At 35.0% G+C, this 24,856-nt stretch overlaps 1 protein-coding gene across 5 annotated transcripts in view; it reads left to right on the top strand.

Annotated features, from left to right (window-relative positions):
- The window catches only part of SESN3 (sestrin 3), a 66,963-nt gene that overhangs the window by 9,996 nt on the left and 32,111 nt on the right, over positions 1 to 24,856 (top strand). The window contains exon 1 of one of the 5 annotated variants that reach the window (XM_047426416.1): positions 16,356 to 21,569. The exons of the other annotated variants lie outside the window; for them this stretch is intronic. The gene's annotated coding sequence lies outside the window, so the exon portion shown is untranslated. Of the gene's footprint in view, positions 1 to 16,355; positions 21,570 to 24,856 lie in introns of those variants that run through there. 5 annotated transcript variants of the gene reach the window in all.

Raw genomic sequence — 24,856 nt, 5'->3', positions numbered from 1 at the left:
CATTTTCCAAAATATGTCTGTTCTTCTATGGCTTTATTTTGTTCTCTTTATAAGAAACACTTTCAGAAGTGCAATAGCAAAGATTATTTGAGAAAATAATCTTATAATGCATTTGTGCCTGGACTTCTTTGTTTCTTTGTTTTTGCTTTCGAGCATTTCATTATCCTTGTGGCCATGAAAATATTTCAATTAAATATCATCACTTTTGAAGGAAATTCTAATAGGGAGCAAGAATGTCCCACCAAGAGACAGGGTCAAGACACCAGCCTTAGCTGCTGGCCTTTCTCAGAAATGTAAAGTGGCCATTGCTTTTAAATGGACACATGCTCCACTTCTTGGAATCTGTTAGTGTTTTATAAGGGATGGCTGTTTTTGAGTAGTTAAGGGTATACCTTCAAACTTCCAAGATTCTAGGTGAGCCTAGGGTTCCAGTTTTGACTCTAGAATTCTGGCTTAGCCTTTCAGTCTTCCACTTCCTCACAAGCCCTTTACTTTGAAAGTCTCCCAAACCAGCTATGAACCCCTTGGCCAGCAGGCACTCCCTTGGTAAATTTGAAATAGAATTGTTCATAGGCCCAGACTACCCCATAACTAGCCTTTACTTTTTAGATCCACGCAGAAGTGAGTCATTTATTGGTCTATGGGCCAGTATATTGACTGCCCCTTGAGGGACACATGAATATTATGAGATATTTTATTCCTATTTAGGCTGGTTGAAATATCTTGCATTATGCTGCCCAACACTTCTAATAAGGTATGACAGGCATTTAACCTTATGTTTTACAAAGAATGTATTGAAAATATCATATGTGAATAAATATGACCAAAAATTAAAATGGCTGATTTAAGGCCGTATTATTTCTTGTACCATCAGAGACTTCTTAACAAGTATAAAATATGTATTTTAGTAAGACTTATTTTCTTTTTATTCTCTGCTAATTAATAGCTACTTGTAGTGGAAGGATATGTTCTTCTTTCTAGATACATATTTTATTTTTACATCTTCCTATACTGAGAAGATGGAACTAGTCAGTTGAAGAAATGAAATTTGTCTTTTCAGTTATCAATATATATGCTAAATATTAGAAAGATCACATTTACCTCATGGGTAACTAAAGCTGGGTTTTGTGGAAGATCATTGTAATTATCTGAAACTGTGACTCTTACTTCCTTTTTTTTTTGGAGTCTCACTCTGTCACCCAGGCTGGAGTGCAGTGGCGCCATCTTGGCTCAGTGAAACCACCGCCTCCCGGGTTCAAGCGATTCTCCTGCCTCAGCCTCCTAAGTAGCTGGGATTACAAGCACCCACCACCATACCCAGCTAATTTTTTATATTTTTTGTAGAGACGGGGTTTCACCATGTTGGCCACGCTGGCTTCGAACTCCTGACCTCAAGTGATCTGCCTGCCTTGGCCTCCCAAAGTGCTAGGATTAAAGGCACGAGCCACCCAGCCCGGCTGTGACTCTTACTTTCAAAACACATTTTATAATATCTATAATGACAATAGCTTCTACTGAATACTACTTATGTGCTAAGCATTTAAACTCTACATATGTTATCACATTCAAGCATCACAATTAACCTGCGATGAATTATTACTCACAGTTTATGGATAAAGAAACTAGGGCTCACAGGGCATTCTTCACTTCTTAAAGGTTATATTACCAGTAAGTGACAGACTTAGGATTTGCAACCAGGTTGAACTCCAAAGCCTGGCTCATTATGCAGGTATAAACACTGCCTTGTCTTATATTTCATGTTTTTCTTTGTGTGAAAGGCTGTTATAAAGTGTAAATAAAACTAATGAAACTTAATAGGATGTGATTATTCAAGAGTTTATAGGAGTGATTTCAAATTCATTTGTATTGTATCTTATTTTTACATTAGAAATGCAAAAAATCATTTTATAAGATTAAATCTATTGAGAAACACATTAAAGTTCTTATTGAACAGTTTTATCCTATATAGTTATCTCTTTTATCTGTGTAAATCCTAATTATGTGACCATTCTTTCTTAACCTCAGGATTTTTTTTTCCTAACTTACCAGCATACTTTGCCCTCCCCCTCCTGCCAACCAGTCATTAATTAGTTCAATAACATTGAATCATTTAATACTGCTCTAGTGTCTGTGACAAAAGATATTATCTGGAAACATTTTAAGTATGTGTCTCGCGAATTGGACCTCTAAGAAATATTCTTACTTTTTGGTAAATTTTTTTCAGTAAAACTATTATTTATGAAGATAAATAATAACATGAATGCTCATTTCCACCACTCATTTGGCTTTCATTATATGTTGAGACAAAAATTTTGATTAAAGGAAGCAAAGAAACCCTTGGACTGTTATCATTCCCCTACCTACATCCCCTATAGTCTACAGAATCTACATCTCTGGAAGAGTTTCCAGTCTTAACAAAGGGTTTGTGCTGGGGAGAGGGATTTATGGCGAGATGTGGTTCTGCTATTTATTTTAAGTTAGAACTCTTATTCTGAGAGTTTTCCATAGAAACACAGTAAGATATGTGGTTAAGTTCCAGAGTACTGTTAATATTACAGGTATGTTCAGGCATTTGTTAATTAGCCTAGAAACCTAACCACTGGGTATAACGTTTCCAGAGGAACATATATCCTGAAATTCAAGTAACCGCTTCACTAGAGACTGTCTTTCCTAACTTGTTTACTCAGCATTAAAAAGGTAATGATTTTGGCAAAAAAAAAAATATTTTTCAATATGTTTACTCCAAGGATGTGCTTGTCGGTTGTGCTGTGTCTAATAGGAAAACTGTGTTAATGAAGTTCCATCCAATATTTAGGTAGGAGTTGAATGAAGAAAGAGATAAAGTTGGGTAATAATAAGCAGGGTGTTGGGACAACTGATGGCCAATATCAAACTGGCTTATCCTTGTTCACTTTGTATTGACCAAGGTTTGGGCTCAGCATGGTGAATTTTAAGTGGGGTGGCATATTTGTTATTATTTATTTTTGTCTTTAAGGTAACACAGATGAAAAAGAAATCATGTTTTACCTACCCAGAAAGTTCCTCTTTGATATAAAATTAGACATTTAATATGTATATCTTAATTTTTTGGTGTAAATTAGTAAAGTAAAACAAGTCAGTCCAGCAAATGTGCTCCAGTAAAGAAAAAAAAACTTAAAACTAATAAAAATAAAAGGCATTTAAGCTAAAGTAAGATACCTTAGCACTAAATTCCATGTAATGTTCAAATTATTTTATCAAAACTGTTTTGTACGTTACTTGAAATTAATGAATTCTCAGTTGGGGTGTGGAATACCTATTTGTGTTGTAGTTTTATTGTTTTAATAGAGTATGACCTATATAATTAACCTCCTGAGATTAATTTTTATATTGTGTAGCTATTAAAAATAACTAAAGCTCTAGTTTGTAATATTCTTTAGGCAAAGTGCATTATTGAACACTCAAAATGTGCATAAACTAGTAAGTATTCTTTTGATTATACAAGAAACCTATTTAGTATTTGGTGCTCTTAAAAATAAGGGTAAATATGGCCGGGTGCGGCGGCTCACGCCTGTAATCCCAGCACTTTGGGAGGCCGAGGCGGGCGGATCACGAGGTCAGGAGAACGAGACCATCCTGGCTAACACGGTAAAACCCCATCTCCACTAAACAAAATGCAAAAAATTAGCGGGCTTGGTGGTGGGCGCCTGTAGTCCCAGCTACGCTGGAGGCCGAGTCAGGAGAATGCCGTGAACCCGGGAGGCGGAGCTTGCAGTAAGCTGAGATCGCGCCATTGCACTCCAGCCTGGGCGACAGAGCGAGATGCTGTCTCAAAAAAAAAAAAAAAAAAAAAGAGGGTAAATCTATGTTTAGGTAGATGGGAATGTAGAAACAGTTTTTTTTGTAAAATTATACAGATTGCTATTTTATGCTTATCAGAATTCTATGTCAGATGCTATTACCTTTTCCTGGCCTTCAGATTCTTAGGCAAGAAATGTTAAGGCTATAAACATTTATAAATCACTGAATACTATATGAATATCTTTAATTAGTTTGTGTATTTTGGAAACATTAAGTGCTCTCACCTGTTAGGCACTGAACAGACTTAGAATGAGAACATCAGAGTTTTTACCTACGTAGCGTGATGACTTGCAACTTATGCCTGGGTCTCTTAGAGATCTTCAAGGTTATGCCTCCCAGTTGACACTACAGTCAAGAGTAGGATTTGGTAAACTTTCTGTAAAGGGCTGGGTAATAATATTTTGGGCTTACAGGCCATACACATAAGCACAGTAGTTCTTCTATAGTAAGTAATTGTAAAGCTTTGAACTAATTGTCTTATTGTCTTAAAATCCTAATTCTCTACCTACCTTCCCCAACCAACATTAGCATAGTGGTGCTCAAGAAATGTGTCATGTAATAAATGAACCTACACTTACTCCAGAGGGGACAAAGGTGGTACCTGATGCAGGAATATGTGAGTGTTGGTGTTGGAGAGTGTTGTGAGAGGAAGATTATTCAGCAGAAACAAACCCTTCCTCTGATGAGCAGAAGTGGTGGATGTCAGTAATTTAAAAATGGAAAATCAAGTCATTCAGAATACTTTTTATAGGGATAATCTTTTAAAATTGCACACTGAGCATTTAATCAATGTAAGTAATATGGCACCATTATCTAGGTTGCACATTTGTGAAAGCATCAGTATATGATGCGTTCCATGGTTGGGATCTAATGATACCCAGATCAAGCCATGACATAACTAGTGCAGTGTGCAAGATTCAAGCCCTATTCAGTCAGAATTCTTCCTTTGAAATGAGGATTGACAATTAAGCTTTTTTTTTTTTTTTTTAAACGGAGTCTGGCTCTTGTCGCCCAGGCTGGAGTGCAGCAACACCATCTCAGCTCACTGCAACCTCCACCTCCCGGGTTCAAGCAATTCTCCTGCCTCAGCCTCCCAAGTAGCTGGGATTACAGGTGCCCACCACCGTGCCCGGCTAATTTTTGTATTTTTAGTAGAGACGGGGATTTCACCATGTTGGCGAGGCTGGTCTTGAACTCCTGACCTCAAGTGATCCACCCACCTTGGCCTCCCAAAGTGCTGGGATTACTGGCATGAGCTACAGTGGCTGACAGTTAAGTAGTTTAATAATGTATGCTTCAAATTATATTTGACAGGGAGTCCCCTGACTAACTCTTGTTATAGTTGTGCAGTTTTATGATTACATATGGGAGAATTAAATGCACAAAAAGCATACATTGATATGGGTGACCTTTCTTATCTGTCTTTTATCTTGTGAAGTATCACTAGTCTAAACACATGTGGTTTTAAAAAACAAATTCACATGATGTATAAGCATATAGTAGTGGAAAATATTTTACTTTTTTTTTTTTTTTTGAGACAGAGTCTTGCTCTGTTGTCCAGGCTGGAGTGCAGTGACATGATCGTGGCTCACTGCAACCCCCACCTCCAGGGTTCAAGCGATTCTCCTGCCTCAGCCTCCTGAGAAGCTGGGAGTACAGGCATGCACCACCACACCCAGCTAGTTTTTGTATTTTTAGTAGAGACAGGGTTTCACCATATTAGTCAGGCTGGTCTCGAACTCCTGACCTCATAATCCACCTGCCTCAGCCTCCCAAAGTGCTGGGATTACAGGTGTGAGCCACTATGCCTGGCCAGTATTTTACTCTTAATTGATGTTAAACTTTTAAACTACAAGACATCTGTGTGGTTTTTTTTTTTTATCTTGCCTCCTTTACTAATTATTGCTAATATCTATGTGATTTTATCTTACTTCCTTTACTAATTATTAGATTTTTATTAGAGCTGTTGTGGAAAACATATTTGTCACAGTGGAAAATGGAATGAATTGATAATAAGCACCTCAATGATATAACTCCATTTGTAGTTAGATATAGATTATTTATAGAAACAATTGGATTTTTAAAAACACTGAATAAGAAATTACCTAGAATGTTGCCATCAATGTGCTGAAGCATTTCATTTTTCATTTTAGAGTGCTACTAAAATTTGAACTCATTGTGACAGTGTATATTTAGTAAATTTTGCATTTAATAAACTACTGTGTTATCATTCATAAAAAGTGCCATGATATCACAAAAATGAAGTAATATGTCCTCTAGCAGTCCTAACCTGTCCATTTCCTTTTCAGTGATAGGTATACATTACATGACTGTCAAAGAGGAGTCCATTGTTACTATAAAAGGCCATTTCTTTTTGTTCTACCTTTATAGTCATCTTAACACATTTTATTGTTTATGGATCATCAACTATTTGACAGAAGGTGTAGAGCACTTAGAAACTAAAATGCAGTGTGCTGTCTATTGTATATCAATCAATTTAAGATAAAGGATTTCTTTTTTTTTTTTTTTCTTTTTTTTTTTTGAGATGGAGTCTCTCTCTGTTGCCCAGGCTGGAGTGCAGTGGCGGGATCTCGGCTCACTGCAAGCTCCGCCTCCCGAGTTCACGCCATTCTCCTGCCTCAGCCTCCCAAGTAGCTGGGACTACAGGCGCCCACCACCATGCCCGGCTAATTTTTTGTATTTTTAGTAGAGACGGGGTTTCACCGTTTTAGCCAGGATGGTCTCGATCTCCTGACCTCGTGATCCGCCCGCCTCGGCCTCCCAAAGTGCTGGGACTACAGGCGTGAGCCACCGCGCCCGGCCAAGGATTTCTAAAATGAAGACATAAATCAGTGGAAAAGCTAGATTGGATTCACAGAAACTTGATACATACCTTTTCTAGAGCATGTGTGACACATAATTGGTTTACAGTTATTTCTAGGAAAAATTCACATTCAAATACTAAGTTCCTCTTCATTATTTTATGATAGATATTTGTTTGTCAAGGTCAGTTGAATTCATAGGGGACACAGACCGTTTACTACATGTCAGGTATTTACTTTCCTGAATGTCATTGTAATTCAGCAGTACACCAAACTAGATAACAATTTTTAGGAATCAACTCGGTCTTCATTGAATTAATATCTTTCCCAAATTGCTATGATTGACTGTTCCTACTTCCCCTCCCCCAGACCGTAGCTATCGTTTTATTTAAAATGTTTCATTTTGAGAAAGGTTGAAGTATTAACCAGCAAAGAATAACAATTCCGTAGGCAAATCAGTTTGTTTCATGTCTAGGACGATGGTTCTGCAGTGTGGTTCTAGAACCAGCAGCATCAGTATCAACTGGGAGTTTGTTAGATTATTACCCCACCCCCCACCCCTAGACCTGCTGAATCTTTTGAAATTCTGGGGATGGGACCCAACCATCTGTAGTGTAACAGGCCTTCCAGGTGATTCTAATACTCTAAGAATTTAGTACCACCAGTCTAGTAGTATTAACCAAATGCTTCCACAAATGAAAATTGTTTACATCCACTTCAGTTTCAACATGCATTATCAGTTGTTTGAGATGATATTGGCAGCGCCAGTGCTAGAATCAGGAAGATTCCTTTTGCCTATTTTACAAAATGCAGATTTGAGACCTTCAGATATAATATGCTCTCACTGTAAGAAAAATATGTCTTATTTTATTGTTGCTACATTCTGAACTTTAGCTTGGGGAAAAAGGAATTGGGTTTTGAAAGCTTGTTTACGACAAATCAAGTGAAAATATCTCTTGGACGTGCTTGCTTACATAAAAATAAGCGTTTTGGCACTAACATTGGTAGACTCTGGTAGGTCTTTCCATCTTAGATTATTTTTATTTCAAGGAAGATTGATATTTTAAGCTTTCATAAAGAAAACTTTTTTTAATCAAAGAAGAAATGATAACATTTGTCCTGATGACAGATTTGGGATTGATATGTTGTTTTTTAAAAATTCTTTTGAATCTCTTGGACAATATTAAATACATATATATATATAAATTATGGATGTTCTCTTTCACCTATAGTAGCTTACTCTTCAATTAAAAATGGAGTGTCAGAAAGTCTCCATTTGGAGACAGGAGGCCTACAAATTGAAACAGAAGAAACCCAAGCCATGTGTATTATATATGGACCATAGGTAAATAGAAGATTGCTCTTTGAAAAGCAAAGATTGTTTCAGTTAGTTGCAGTTCTATCTAGGACAGTAACTATAAGTCATTTTATTTTGTTCTTTGGTTGTATCTAATTTTGAGGTAATGGGTGTTTTCCTCATATTACCTCTAAGTTAATACTACAATTTAACCTGTATTGATGTTACTTATGTGAATAACAGGCTGTATTAAATTACCCCACTTTAATTCCAAAGTTCCTTACGCATGGGCTGCCCCAGAAGCATATGTAATTACTTAATTCTAAACCATGGTAGGTGATGCTTTTCTAGTGACCATTTTTCTATCCTTCTGTGAGGAAAGGGCTAATATAGTACCTTAAATAGAACTGTCTCCATGGCAATGGACAGTCAGCTTTTGACTTTGAATCTCATGAAAAAAGAAAATTTAAAAAGCATTTTCATGGTCTAAAATAGCAGTATGGCAAAAGTAAGGTATGAGAATATTTCCTGTCAGTTATTGCATGACTGGTTAAGGTAGCAGAACTTTTATCTTTTTTTCTTTTTTCTTTTTTACATAGGACTTTTTATTTGAGTATTTTGAAATGTTACCGAATTCCTTCTCTGAATTAATGAATGATAATTATTATCTTCAGATTGATAGAGAACTAGAGAAGCTTAGATATAGGATTGGGTCCATGCCTGAGAAAAAAAGAGTTGCCTAGCTCTGGTTGTAATTTTACTCTCATAAAGAATAAAAATACTGACTAAATTATGGGTCATTCATAATTACATTTAAACAGAGCTATCTCATGGAACACTGGAAGCAATAACGATTAAAAATAAAAGCTTAACAAATTATGCCAGTTTTTTTTCAGCCAACTCCTACGATTTGGGGTCTACAGATCACCTATCCTATTTAAAAGACTCCACTGGCAGCCTGCCTCCCTTGTTCTCTTTTGCATCCACACTTACTTAAAGGCAGAGCCCTTTGATTCTAGCTGCTTGTTCACCTAGCTTTCAGTAAAGGTCAATGACAGTGCTGTATATTAGAAGCTAGAGAATAAGACCACATTGTCATCGGTAATCTTACTTTGTCTTTTTCCTTTGTAAAGTTGTTTGCCCCTTGACTAAATCTTATCTCAGTATAGGGGTCATTTTCAATTGAATCAGCTCTCATCTTTAAAATATCATCAGTAAATGCTTAATACTCTGAGGTTACTGTTAATGAGGGAATTGGTTAAACAAATTATGTGACATAAATACAGTGGAATACTGGGCAACTGATCTATGTATAGAAGTGGACAGACATCCACAATATGTTATTGATTGGAAAAGACCAAGGTTTTTTTTTATTTTTTAGGACTATGAAGATTTTTGTTTTCATTTAAAAAAAGATAAATAAGGAATCCAAAATTAACAGTATTAATTTCTGGGTGGTGGGGTTACAGGAGATTATTTTTACCATCTACTTCATTGTCCTTTGTTTTTAGCAATAAACACATATTTTATAAAAGTTTAAAAAGCTATTACTGATTTGAAATAATAGAGAAGAAGAGATAATTTAAGTGATGGATAGTACAGAGAGCAGATTCAAATGAGATGGCAAATTAAAGATGCATTGAGATAAAGACAAATGTTCACAGGTTTAATAGATATCCAAAGTAGCTATGGGTAAATCACCAAGGGAATAATAATGTGTGTGTAGGAGGCTAATGAGGGCTCAGATGCGTAGACATAGATCAATACAATCTGGAAATGAATGAAGGTACTGTGCCTATCTATAGCATATTTTTTTATGTTGTCATATCAATCATTCTCTTTAGGAATCTGATGTGCTTATTAATATTTCATCAGAATATTAGTTTGTTTCCTTAATTATGAATTCAAGAGATAGCTGCAATTGTATTGCTCTACTTTTATACCATATGGTAGATAATAAAACTTACTGTATAAATTTCAGGAATTTAAATATATAATCTGAGCACTGTGTGTTAATCTAGAGATATTATCTATTAGGAACTGAAATAGAAAAAGATGGCTACTTTATAATATAATGTAATTTTAGAATTATTTAATTAATATGTATGCTAGGATTTTTGAAGACTTAAAAAAGGTGTATGGAGTCTGTCCTAGGTTTTAGAGAGCTTACTCTGTGGTTAGAGAGAAAGATGTTTTCTAAATAATTATAAAGATAGCTAAAAATGGAAAACTATACCTTTTGACTTTTTGTAGAGGTTAATAGATTATTATGTATCTTCACTTGTGAAAGCATGGATAATGTTTCAGTTAATTTAATACATTACTGTATGGAAAAGAAGGGTAGTTAAATATTAAATACTTGTTCTTATGTTTAAGGCTTAGGTATGTGGTTTCAGTGGACTATTTTTAATGATTTTTAAAAATATATATTTGAATTCTCAAAAATGCAAAATGTGTTATAGATAACATTATAGAGTATCTATAACCAGTTATTTTATAAATGGGTGTTTTTTACTTAAGTGGCTTTACTTTCCAATTTTATTTTCCATTTCTAATAGGATGGGTCATTTGTTGAACAAAATATCGAATTAATGACCTACTTTGAGCCAATTGATAGTTTTCTAAACCCAGCCTATTCTGTAAATCTTTTCTTTAGCTTGTAAGACAATTTCTAAACATGTTGTCTAGTTGTGTTATACTAAGGAACTCAGTATTGCATAATTCTAATAACAGCAGTTACTTTTTTTTTTTGAGACGGAGTTTTGCTCTGTCACCCAGGCTGGAGTGCAGTGGTGTGATCTCGACTCACTGCAACCTCCGCCTCCCGGGTTCAAGTGATTCTCCTGCCTCAGCCTCCTGAGTAGCTGGGACTACAGGCGTGCGCCACCATGCCCAGCCAATTTTTGTATTTTTTTTTGGTAGAGATGGGGTTTCACCATATTGGCCAGGCTGGTCTCAAACTCCTGACCTCGTGGCCCACTCGCCTTGGCCTCCCAAAGTGCTGGGATTATAGGCATGAGCCTTTTATAGTTGTATAGATGATGTCACACTCTTAAGAGCTTTACAGATATTTATTCATATAATATTCTCACTGCCTATTTTAATAGCCTTCTATTCACCCACTGCTGTGGGAGGGACTGCCACTCTTGGGTCATGGGGGTGGCTGAACGTATAATACCTAACACTGGACAGATGAGATCAACAGTGGTTTATTAGTCACATATACTCACAGTCCAGGGGAAGAGGACACTGCACACCATGCAGTGCACTTGGAAGTTGTATTCTGGAACAGAATGAACAACGAGGGGCAGTGAGAGACAGGCTTTCTAGAATAAAGAGGGTGAGATGCCCCAAGTTTCTACATGAAGCTATGATTGGCTTGTTTACATGATTGCATGAACTGGAATACTTTTCTATGCACCAGGAAGTAATTAATGATTATCTGGGATATTTATTATTCTTTTCCACTATAATTGTGTCAGAGCATCTTATCATTTCTCTTGATAAAACTGGGTATCTTTTTCTCTGAATTTTTCACATAATGCAAGTGTAATTGTAAACTAGCTGCTTTTGTTTTTTCCTTTTTTTTAGTCTGGCCAAACCTTTGATATAAAGAAGAATGTTTATAGAGTATTATTTATACTGAACTCTATGTCCTAATTAAAAGCAGATTTACCAAGTTTGGGTTTTTCTCATTCCCTTTATCTTGCCTGTGAACTTTGTCAAATTAACTTTTTAAAAATACAAACTGTTTATTAAAGAGTCTTGAATCTAGTATATTGGAATAATAAGTTTCTTTAGTCTTCCTTTCTGTTTTAATAAGAGCTATGCTTAAGTGATGTAGTGGTAGAATGCAAAATGCTCACAGTTCTGCTGTAACACTTAATGAAAATTTGTTTTAATTGATGTATTAGGGAATGATTTGAGCATATCAGTGAATTTTGTGTATTAGGATACATACTTCAAACATCTACCCTCCACCTTAGTTCACCAGTGTATTATGAGCTCCATCCATTCATATCTGGTGTTACATTGTTACGTCTTATTTCAGATCATCCTTCTGCTGCTTCATAACTTACAGGCTGTAGGCCTTGCAGTAACCACTTCCATAAGCAATTTTCTTTTTCAAGGTAGAGTGCCATATACATATATATTTTAATTGTACTTTAAGTTCTGGGATACATGTGCAAGAAGAACGTGCAGGTTTGTTACATAGGTATACATGTGCCATGGTGGTTTGCTGCATCCATCAACCTGTCATCTACCTGAGGTATTTCTCCTAATGCTATCCCTCCCCTAACCCCCTACAGGCTCCGGTGTATGATATTCCCCTCCCTGTGTCCATGTGTTCTCATTGTTCACCTCCCACTTATGAGCAAGAACATGCGGTGTTTGGTTTTCTGTTTCTGTGTTAGTTTGCTGAGAATGATGGTTTCCAGCTTCATCCATGTCCCTGCAAAGGGCATGAACTCATCCTTCTTTTTTTTTTTTTTTTTTTTTTTTGAGATGGAGTTTCACTCTTGTTGCCCAGGTTGGAGTGCAATGGCGTGTTCTTGGCTCACTGCAACCTTCGCCTCCTGGAATCAAGCGATTCTTCTGCCTCAGCCTCCAGAGTAGCTGGGACTACAGGTGCACACCACCACACCCGGCTGATTTTTGTATTTTTAGTAGAGACGGGGTTTCGCCATGTTAGCCAGGCTGGTCTCAAACTTCTAACCTCAGGAGATCCACCCGCCTCAGCCTCCCAAAGTGCTGAGATTACAGGTGTGAGCCACCACGCCTGGCCAAACATCCTTTTTTATGGCTGCATAGTATTCCATAGTGTATATGTGCCACATTTTCTTTATCCAGTCTATCATTGATAGGCATTTGGGTTGGTTCCAAGTCTTTGCTATTGTGAATAGTGCTGCAGTAAACATACATGTGCATATGTCTTTAGAGTAGAATGATTTATAATCCTTTGAGTATATACCCACTAATGGGATTGCTGGGTCAAATGGTATTTCTGGTTCTAGATCCTTGAGGAATCGCCACACGGTCTTCCACAATAGATGAACTAATTTACACTCCCACCAACAGTGTAAAAGCATTCCTATTTTCTCCACATCCTTTCCAGCATCTGTTGTTTCCTGACTTTTTAATGATCATGATTTAATCATGTGTTTTTGATTTGCATTTCTATAATGACCAGTGATGATGAGCTTTTTTTTCATATGTTTGTTGACCACATAAATGTCTTCTTTTGAGAAGTGTCTGTTCATATCCTTTGCCCACTTTTTGTTGAGGTTGTTTTTTTCTTGTACATTTGTTTAAGTTCCTTGTAGATTCTGGATATTAGCCCTTTGTCAGATGGATAGATTGCAAAAATTTTCTCCCATTCTGTAGATTGCCTGTTCACTCTGATGATAGTTTCTTTTGCTGTGCAGAAGCTCTTTAGTTTAATTAGATCCCATTTGTCTATTTTGGCTTTTGTTGCCATTGCTTTTGGTGTTTTAGTCATGAAGTCTTTGCCCATGCCTGTGTCCTGAATGGTATTGCCTAGCTTTTCTTCTAGGGTTTTTATGGTTTTAGGTCTTATGTTTAAGTCCTTAATCTACCTTGAATTAATTTTTGTTTAAGGTATCAGGAAGGGGTCCAGTTTCAGTTTTCTGCATATGGCTAGCCAGTTTTCCCAACGCCATTTATTAAATAGGGAATCCTTTCCTCATTGCTTGTTTTTGTCAGGTTTGTCAAAGATCAGATGGTTGTAGATGTGTGGCGTTATTTCTGAGGCCTCTGTTCTGTTCCATTGGTCTATATATCTGTTTTAGTACCAGTGCCATGCTGTTTTTGTTACTGTAGCCTTGTAGTATAGTTTGAAGCCAGGTAGCATGATGCCTCCAGCTTTGCTCTTTTTGCTTAGGATCATCTTGGCTATATGGGCTTTTTTTGGTTCCATATGAAATTTAAAGTAGTTTCTTTCAATTCTGTGAAGAAAGTCAATGGTAGCCATTTAAGTGAGGAATTACTACCTACCAGCCAACCCATATGCTCTGATAGTTATAAACACATTTCGCACACTGATGATCATGCAGCTCTTCTTTTAGAAAAAAATGTATTTTTTGGAGATTACATTCTTGGGAAGGAACAGCTGTATTTGAAGTCCTGTCATGATTATATGAACTCTCTACAAAACAGTTACATAAAGTTAAACCTCACTAATATATACAGGACCAGTAATACTTCGTGCTGGAGCTAAAATTATTTAATATATTTCTAAAATAAAAATATGTGAGGACAAGTCCATACATTATTTTGGAGGACTTTCAAAAGTTATTCATACTACTAGATTATAAAGGTTATTCATATAAAGATTATTTAAAAGACTACTCTCACCATTTACATAAAATACCTTAAAATAATCCCTTGATTCATTTTTTTTAAAAAACTAAGGAAAGAAGAAAATCATTGAATACCATAATCCTGACAATAAATAGATTATTATTATTTCTTTTTTTTAGAGTATGGTATGCTTTGTTCACTGGATCATTTATGAAGAACATAAATTAGCTGGGTGTGGTGGCTCACGCCTATAATCCCAGCACTGTGGGAGGCCCAGGCAGGTGGATCACTTGAACTCTTGAGTTCGAGACCAGCCTGGGCAACATGATGAAACCCAGTCTCTACAAAAAAAACAAAACAAAACAAAACAAAAAAAACATATAGTATAGAACATTGAAGAGAATTTTAGACATATTTAAAATTACAGTTCTTCTGCTATTAAATTATGTAAATTATATGATATTATATGATATATATCTACAATAGACCTTTTTCTAATCTTGGTTTTATAACATTTTACCAAAAATCCAGAACGTATCAGTTTATTAATAGGTTAAGTAAAATTATTTTTAAAATAAAACATTTTTTAAACTAGCAAAATAATGGGAAAGTAATTTTAAAGCATTTAGCTTATTTTCTTTCTGAAAACTTTCTACCAGCATTTAGAATCTTTCACAGCATTCTGTATAACCATAGAATGTTAATGCAAAAAGGCCCCACGGAATGTCTCTCATTTTTTAAATGTGAAAATTAATTCCTTGAAAAATGATCAAAGCTCTGATCCTTTCAGTGCTAAGAAGGGAAAATAACTCAGGTTTTAGTACCTTTTTCATCGTATCACCTTACCTCTAGCATTCAGGTATATATTACTTTGTTTATTACTCTTTGGGTGTCTATATCTAATTTTACCAAGTAGTTTGTAAACCCCTTTAGGCAGTTTTTGTACTTTCTGTTCTTAAAAGAGCTATTACATAAGCTGCTTAACAATGAATTTAATTGGTACATACTGATTGGTTGGTTGATTTCTTTGATTTGGAAGTAAGTGTTTTAAACTTAGAATGCCTAGTGCAGGCCTCTGGTGTTCACAGATGTCCTTTCAGTACTTAAAAAGTAGTAATGTTGGCCGCGCGTGGTGGTTCATGCCTGTAATCCCAACACTTTGGGAGGCTGAGGCGGGTGGATCACGAGGTCAGGAGTTCAAGACTAGCCTGGCCAAGATGGTGAAACCCCGTCTCTACTAGAAATACAAAAAAAAATGCCTCTGTAGTCCCAGCTACTCGGGAGGCTGAGGCAGAAGAAATGCTTGAACCCGGGAGGTGGAGGTTACAGTGAGCTGAGATCATGCCACTGTACTTCAGCCTGGGCAACAGAGCAAGATTCCGTCTAAAAAAAAAAAATAGTAATGTTTAGGTGATATGAATGACTGTTTATTTTGAGTTAACTGAAAAACTATTGATTTAGTACACTAACACTGAAACCTTAAGTACAGGCTAAGGATAACAAATCCTGTTATCCTTAGTTAAGTTACTTAAAAAAGAAAGATAAAGAACAGAAAAGGGCCTGAATAGCATCTGTATGCAAACTAATCTGGAAAATGGGAGGAGATATCAAGAGAATGACAAATTAAAGGAAGTCTTTGTGATCATTAGAAGATAATTACTTTCACAGATCTTAATTATAGCATAATTATAGCTTTTTCTTTCTATCAAAAACTGCACTCTGAGAATTTTCTTGCCAAAACAGGAATTGAGAAACTTTGGATGTTATGAAGTAACTCTATTAAATTATAAGAGTGTGTGTGTGTGTGTGTGTGTGTGTGTGTGTGTGTGTGTGTATTTTAGGACTGGCATAAATCCAGGATGCCAAAAAACATTTTAAGGTGGTTATGGTTCAAAAATAGTTCATAATATCATTAAATGTATAATAGGCTGAGTAATATATAGAAATAGTATGTTATCAATCAACATTTATTGGGCACCTGATTTGAATTAGTCATTAAGATAGAACACTTCTTTTATAATTAAATTAGTGAAAGAGAAGATAAACCACTTTTATGAGGTTTATCTTCTCTTTCACAAAATGATACCAGGCATCATATAAATGGGAATCTGGAAGACGGGAAAACTCGCTGTGGGTTTGAATGAGTCAATATACAGAATTTAGGAACTGTGTTGAGGCTTATGTGAAGTGTTCATATAAGGGAACACTTGGAAAACAAAAGTTGAAAAGTTAGGTTAGGGGCCAGAATGTTGGAGATCTTGCCTTTCTTCCTCTACTGTCCTTCCCCCAACTCCACCCCCTCAATAAACTAAGGATAAAATGATAGGCTAAACTGAGGTAGTAGTAGTAGAAATGGAAAGCAAATTAGACTCACTGAGAAGTTTGTGAACAGGTGGTGAGATAACCTAGTATAAAGTTGTTATTAAATATTAGAGTGTAATGTATAATAAAAGTTTGGGTCTTTAAATGCAAATTAAAATAATGAAACACTTGATTCTTGACAGTGCTTTCATCTCCTTGAAACCCATATCCTTCCACATTACTGTCTTATAAGCATAATCCCTGGATTGCTAGTATCAACCTAAATTTCAGCTGCCTTATTGTGTGAATTGCTTTTATATCAGTTGGTGTCACCATTATTCATCCATACAGTCATCTAATTCAGAATTCTGTGAGGAACCCTAGACTTTCCTCACTATTTTACCCTGATATTCCATTAGTCACTCAATTCTGTTTAGTCTGCTAACTAGCTGTCAATATAATTCCTTTTCTTTAATCCATACTGCTTAATTAACCCAAATCTTCTCTTTCCTACATAATATAGTAGCCTACTAATAGCTCATATTTCCCCAGCCTCCCCCACCCCACTCTACTTTCTAATGGATGTCAGAAATATTTTCTTAAAAGACAAATATAATTATTTTACTATTGCCCATTGTTTATATAATATCAAAGCTCTTTACTCTGACATTCATGATGTGACTCTTGCCTATGTCTCTAGCCTTATTCCCTGAGAAAGTTTCAGGAATCATGTAGAACAACATAGTTCCCTCGATGTGTCATGTCTTTGTATTTTATATTTCTTTTTACTGGTATTGTTGTATCCACATAGACTTAACTATCCTTTTCTACGTATCCTGACAAATTTCTGCTCCTTCCCAAGATTTATCTCATCTGGAAGGCTGTTTTAGTCCATACTCTTGCAGGCAGAGTGAGGCTTTCCTGTTTTGGTTACTCCCGTTATAGCTCCTAACATACATTGTAATTGTGCATCCATACTTATTTACCTGGCATTTCCTTGAAGTCAGCACTTGTGCTTCATTTATCTTTGTATTTTCAAGTACTTAGTTCAAGACTTTCCAGAAAATGAGCTTGTCTTAGTCCATGCAGGCTGCTATAACAAAAACCAAAGACTGGGTGGCAGAAACAATGAATATTTATTTCTCACAGTTCCGCAAGCTGAGAAGTCCTAGATCAGGGTGCCAGCAAATTGTGTCTAATGAATGTCTGCTTCCTAGTTCATAAACAGCTATCTTTGCACTGTGTCCTCAACAGGGCAGAAGAGGGCCAGGGAGCTCTTGGGGTCTCTTTTATAAAGGGCACTAATCCCATTCATGAAGATTCTACTCTTATGACCTAATTACCTTCCAAAGGCCCCACCTCCTAATACCATCACATTGGGGGTTAGGATTTCAACATACGAATTTTGAGGGGGGGGACAGGAACATTCAGTACATAACAGAGGTTTAAAAAAATAATCAAATGAATTAATAATTCTTCTTTTTAAAAGTTACAGTGTTTAATTTCAATCTTAGGTTTATTAATAACATTTATTTTTCATTAACTTGTATTATAAATTACAAAAACTTTGTTGTAATAATTGTCATTTATTTAAATGCCTATTTATCTCAGGTACCTTGCTAGTCACTTAAAAAATTATAAAAATTTCAAGTAACGCAAAAGCAGAAAAAATAGTGTAATGAAGCTTCATAAACCCATGACCAAATTTAATATTGGGAAGGTTTTATCACTCTTAACTTCATCAATCCTGTGTTGCTATTATTGCTGCTGAAATAATTAAATCTCAAAACTCATTTTCTTCTACCTGCTGTATACTTTAGTATACATTTCTAAAATATAAGGACATATTCTTATATAACTGCAGTGCCTCCTAACTTTTTGAATTTGCAGCAAGGGGGTCAGCTATCAGCAGGATCCAGTCGTACTGGATGAGGATGTCTTTGATCTGCTTCTTAGAAGCCTCATTTACGTATTTCTGGCAATAGGCTACCAGGGATTTGGAGACATACTGCTGGATAGCACAAATCTGAGCCACATGACCACTACTTTTCACATAGACACAGATGTCCACACCAGCAAACCACTCCTTGCCCAGAAGCAGAGGGGTCAATAATTTTTAAGACTATAAAGAGGTCCTGACATCAAGACGTTTGTGAACTGTTTACTTAAATGAGCATAAGAATGGTTTTAATTCTGATTACAGTAGGTTTTAAGTTTACCTGTGTACATTAAAGCACAATCTTGTAGTTTTCTGCTTATAGACTTGAGGATTGACAAAATAAAGCAGAAATGATGTCTTCATGCATTTACTATACAGATCAGATCTGTTCATTCTATTCCAGGTAAAAATGAAAATGTGACTGCTCCTTTCAAAACTAGGAATAAAGACTTCTGTTCTTTTAAGTTTTATTACAACTGAAGTTTAATGTAATTCAAAATAAAATCAAATATACTTGAATTTACACAGTTGTGATCCTGGGGGGCTGTGTGAAAGGTACTTTCTCAATTTAAATGAGAACATGAGTTCTTATTTCTGACTCAGTGCGTAAAGAAGTACTGGTTTCCATATGGCTAAATGCTTATAATTTGTTTTGTAAATCTCTAGAAATCAAATGCATTTAATATATTTCCCTGATTCCTCTAAGCTGAGTAAGTGACTTGTATTTTATCATTGTGTTTTGAAAAATCTGAAAACCATCCTGTCATTCTGTTCCATTGGAATAACCTAAAGCCTTTTGATTTTATAATACTATAGTCAAGCTGGTAGATGCTGAATATGGAAGCTTGATTTAAAACTCCACTTGTCCCTCATACACCAAGATAACTACATTCACAGCATATTTTTGTTTCTCCAAAAGTACTAGTAACTATCAACCATCGACTGAGTAATATTAGAATGTTATATAATTGTCTCTAATGGGAATTTTACTTTCTAAAACTTCCAATTTTAGTTTCTTTTCATCTAATTGAGACATTATTTTAATAGGTAAAGCTTTCTAAAATTCAAGGTGAAGTTTTATTGTTACACAATACAGAAACTTTTAAACAATTATTCATATAGAAGTAAAGACCTTCTTAATACTTTTTTGGGACCAGATCTTATAATTAGTGGTAGAAAAGCATATTGTCTTTATGTTACTAAGGAAGCAATAGTTAAGTGCTTATTATGGACTTGCATTATCTCAGCTACTAAGATTTATAGTTCTCTCCTCATTTTCTTGTGCTATAGCTCAAAATTTTACTAGCATATTCAACAGCTATATTTTGTATCTCTATAGCTCTATAAAAAGTGTTCAACACTTAAAAGCTTATACAGGAGGCTTTGTTGCCCAAGATTAGTGTCACAGCATGGAATATTACTGATTTTTAAGAAAGTGGTACAAATTATGGGAAATTATAGATACTGTTTGTTTTAATAACTAAGAAAATAAACAAATAGGCATCCAGAGGGCACATGGAAGACAGTAAGTAGATTGATGTTTAGGACTGTGTTTTATATATTGGTTTAACTTATTGGTATTTCTAATAAGAATACAGAGAACATTAATTTCCTTAAATCCACAGGATGTTCTTGTTCTGTTCAAGGAGGAGAAATGGATGAAAGAGCCTACAGCCAGACTCCTATCTCCTTAATTCAATTCAAAAAATATATGAGAATCTATTATTTTCACTTTGCTGAGCTGTAATGCTACAGATATTGTGTTAGAAATTGATTCTACTCTTTAAGGAGCTTATAGTCTGAAAGGAGCAATAAGATAATGATATATGTTAATAGCTATAAGAGAGAGAAACAATATAACTGAACCTTAAGAAATATAAATTTAAAGCTTTCATAGGAAACCTTGGGAGTTGGCAGGAGAGAAGGAAGACCAAAGGAGTTGGTATTTGAGACAGGGCTTAAGGGAAGTATGGATAGCATTTCAATAGAGAGAAAAAGGGAAGGCAGATCCTCAGGAATACACTGGTTCAAATATATCTAATTTCCACAGAGCACAGAAAAGACAAGTCATTTTAAAACTACCAATTACCTTTTAACTTTACAGGTGACTGTAGCTTTGATTTACATCACTCTGTGGCATTACATGGAAAGTGGAAAAAGTGTGTTCTTTGTCACTTGCCTCTGGGTGACACTGGACATGAATGTGATTTTAGATTTATTTCCAGTTTAAAGGACTAACTAGTAGTATAGTGCTAATGGTGTAGCTTAAAGACTGTCCTATAGCATTTGTTCTTAATTATTTCCACCTTTGTAGATTTGTATAATTCTGGGGTCATACAGGGTTCTAGAGCTACCTTGAAGTGGTCCTTTTGTTTTTAGAAGCTTGTCACTCCATAGTCAATGTATAAATATAACAACTTGTTTGCACTTAGAACAAGTTCACTATGTGTTCTAATGAGTAAAAATTAAGGGATTTTGTTACTGGCCAAGCAAAAGCTTATTTGGAAGCTCAGTTATACTGCACTGCAAATTAAACTCATTAGCTGCCCTTTGCTATGTGGATATACGTTTTTAATTCTTCATTCATTCTTCCAATTCTTTCAGTGCTGGAATGAATCCATTCATCTTTAAATACTTAACTGCTTCTACTACAATGAGTACTACTGCCAGTTTCCACTAATAATAGCAGTACTCATGGCTGCCATTTCCAGAGTACTCACTAGGTGAGCTTGTGTAGCTTTGGGCTCACAGTTAGTAAAACAAGTAAAATTTATGTAATGGTTCTTACCAAATGGCACACCAAGATTTTTTTTTTATGAAAGTTACTTAATCATAATATCTCATATTATTTCTTAGAACTCATTCTTTTGGAAAAGTGAAATAGAAAAACATACTACTATGCAAATGACCACTATTACATAAAGCTGTAAAAACTAGACCAGAAGTTTACCTCACATGTACACCATTCTAAGGTTGAAGTAGTCAAAGATGAACAAGGTACTGACCGACCGCCCTACAAAGAACTGATGATTCAGTAGAGAGAGAGGAGGTAAAGAAATTGCTATAATACAGTTGATAACTCTAGTACTTTTGAGTGGAAATGTTTTGAGAATTCAAGTTAAAAATCGAATTTCATATGTATTGTTGAAGAAGGCTAGATTTCACACTATTAGTAACAAGATCTTTCCTATGTTCCTCAAATGACTCTATCCAGAGGTAAAACTGTTGCAGGAAGGACTTGATAGCCTTGGTTTTAATAGCTCAGTTAAAAGGAGTTCACTCTTAAAGTCTCAGGCCCTTAGGATTAGATGAGATTCCCCATTATGAAGGAGAATTTTGAGTGCTCTTTGGAGTGTCAGTGAATTTCTGACACCCCTGTAATATCTGCTGGGCTTCTGATCCTCAGTGGTTCCTTGAACCACTCTAGCTTCAAGTAAGAGAAGAGATGCTGGTGTAATTTAAAACATTCTCACCCCTGGTGCCATTGCCATTTTCTGCTTTTAGATCTTTTCTTATGGAATAATCTTGGATCTCAGTTATTATAATCTGGTGAACATCAATACATATTTTAATATGGTATAGAAGTCACATTTTTAAAAATTATCTCTTGGATTTTTCTTTTAGAGATAGTGGGAACTGAATTTATGTTCCAGTTAGTGACTGGCCTTTAAAGTTAAGTTTACTGTAAAAGTACCAATCCGTTATAATTCATTTAAAACCTGTTGTTTTCTCATCTAGGGTTACATCAGCATTATTTCATAGCATAGAGCTGCCTGTTTATACCTACTTTTTTGTCGTTGTTGTTGTTGCAGTGTTTCTGCCAAAATGGAACATCTATAACAATAAAAGGAGGGTCAAAAACTGAATTTACTATTTGTATAGACCATTTCAATTGGCTTTCTTACATTCGTACCTAAAAATTTTGTTTGGGGCATGTGTTTTGTATTTAAGACATTTTGTCATTGTAGTGTATTTAAAAAAGAATGTTGGCACCATTAAATTATCTTCTAAGGATATCTTTAAAAATTGTGGGGTTAGTGTTCTCTGTGGAGTTAAATTTTACTTTACCAGAATGTTTTATATGTTGAACAGATTTTCCTTAAAAAAAAGATCCTTAAGTATTTCTATGTAAATTAATTACACATTTTGCTCCCCTACAGAGATAAATTATAAGCAACATTTACATTTTAGTGGATAGAAATGTATGATTTTGCTTTTCCACTTTTAATAAAATACACTGAAAAATAAGTGAAAATTAATTTTAATAATTTATTTTAAAGCATTTAATAGCTTAAAGTGCTGCAATTAATTTTCTTTGGAAGTCAGTCTTTTTAGGGGCAAGTAATTTGCTGATTACTCCTAAAGACTCACAATTTTAAGAGTTTCTAACTTCCAAATACAAGTATCTTAATTTTCTGTTGGGATCAATTTATATCCTTTAAAGGGATCTAATAAGTTGCTTAGCTGTTAAGTGTCAAAATAAGTGATTTTCTAAATATAATTCATCCTCATCCTTTCAGTGTTTTGTTTTCCAGCAGATAATTACTTAATAGGCATAATCTCAACTGATGAATTTCAAGCGTAACTTTTTTCAGCTATAATGAGGTATCTGTAAAAATAAATTTTCCTAATGGTAACATTCTTGAGATTATAAACCTTACAAAATAATCTCTTAGAGCACATACAAGTGACACATAGAAAGTGTGAGTTCCTATTTTATAACTAGTTTTTTTCTTGATTAAAATTATAGGATTTCATGAAAAATAGCTAATTCTGAAAACAAATCACGATAAAGTTATTACTATTTAAAATTTCTTAAGTACTTTTACATTCCTTTTTTTAAACTCAAGTCAACATTTTAGATAATTTCTTTCATTCTTTTTAGTTAGTGATTTCAAAGTTGTCATCAAATTAAGACTCTGAAGAATGGTATCTCTCAACTTTTCTGTTATTAAGATTAATTGGTTGGTTTTATTGGGTTTTTCAGTTTTAACATTCAAATCAATCTTTTATTTCTATGAAAGTACTTTAGTACATGTTTATTATGCTATGTTTATTCCTGATTTTGTAGCCATTTTATATCTTTGCATTATCCTAGCAGCTGAACAATATTACAAAGCAACACTATACCATAGAACTTTTGGCAATGGTAGAAATAGCCTAGATTCGCATTGTCCTGAATGGTATCCACTAGCCACATGTGGCTGTTAAACACTTGACATGTGGCTAGTACAATTGAACTCTAAATTCTTAACTTTATTTAATGTTAATCAGCTTAAATTTAAATAGGCACATGTGGCTAGTGACAGCGAAAGAAACTCAAGGACTTGTTTTGGTTTTTCACAGAAATAAATAAGATTTATTATTTAAAAGCCATTGTATAAGATTCACTAGATCTTTGACTAAATGATCAAACTCATTTATTCCCAAAAGTAAGATAGTAGCTTTAGCTGAAATGCTTAGAGAAAAACATAGCAATATTATTCCTCAAAATTAGTGCAGCCACTGCATATTTTCACTTATAGCATAGAGCAATCCTTGAATTTTTCTAATCAAGTAGCATCTGTTGAGAAAATATAGCTGTTTTCGTTTTGGGTTCTTTTTTTTTTTTTTTGACATTGAGGAAAATAAGCAGAAGAAAAATAAAAATATTTTATATTATGCTTTGTGTGTTTTACATTTTTATGCGGTATCTTCTCAAAGCTTCCCAACAATGGGGTAAGCTACAGTCTAGAATTGATATTATTCTCACTTGTGAGGGGAAAGGTTTCTTGGCATGAGAGAAATCTTACAACTGAGTAGGGGGTGTGGAAAGGATGACTTAAAGATTTAGTTGGTAAAAGACAGTTACAGGATTTAGCAACCATTTGAATGCAGGCCCCTAGGATAAAGAGTCCAAGATAACTGTGAATCTGAGCCAGGGTTGCTGGTATGTATGGTGATTTTATAACCTACAGAGGAAAGTGAGGAGGAACAGCTGGTTTGAGATAGAAGATTCATTTTAAACATGTTGATTTTAAGGTGCTAATGTTGCATCCAGGTTATGTCACAAAATACCCAAAGCCAGACTGGAGGGCGGAGAAGAGCTAGCGAGTTCTCTAGATAAAAAAGATTCAGGAGGCAGTTGCATGGGTTGCTCATTTTCGTATCCTGTGCCCTTATTTTTTCCTTCATCTGCTCCATCGTCTTCCCTACAATATAGTCACCATAACAAATTTGAGTAGAATTTTGTTTTGTGTAAAGAATATGGTAGCCATAGAAGAGAACATTGACTTGAAAGAATAATATTTATAAGGAAGGAGTTGCAAGGAACATCTAGGAAACATAAAAGTAAAT

The sequence above is a fragment of the Homo sapiens genome, chromosome 11 (assembly GCF_000001405.40).
Source record: "Homo sapiens chromosome 11, GRCh38.p14 Primary Assembly".
Lineage (NCBI taxonomy): Eukaryota > Metazoa > Chordata > Mammalia > Primates > Hominidae > Homo > Homo sapiens.
This window is presented reverse-complemented; position numbering and strand designations above follow the sequence as displayed.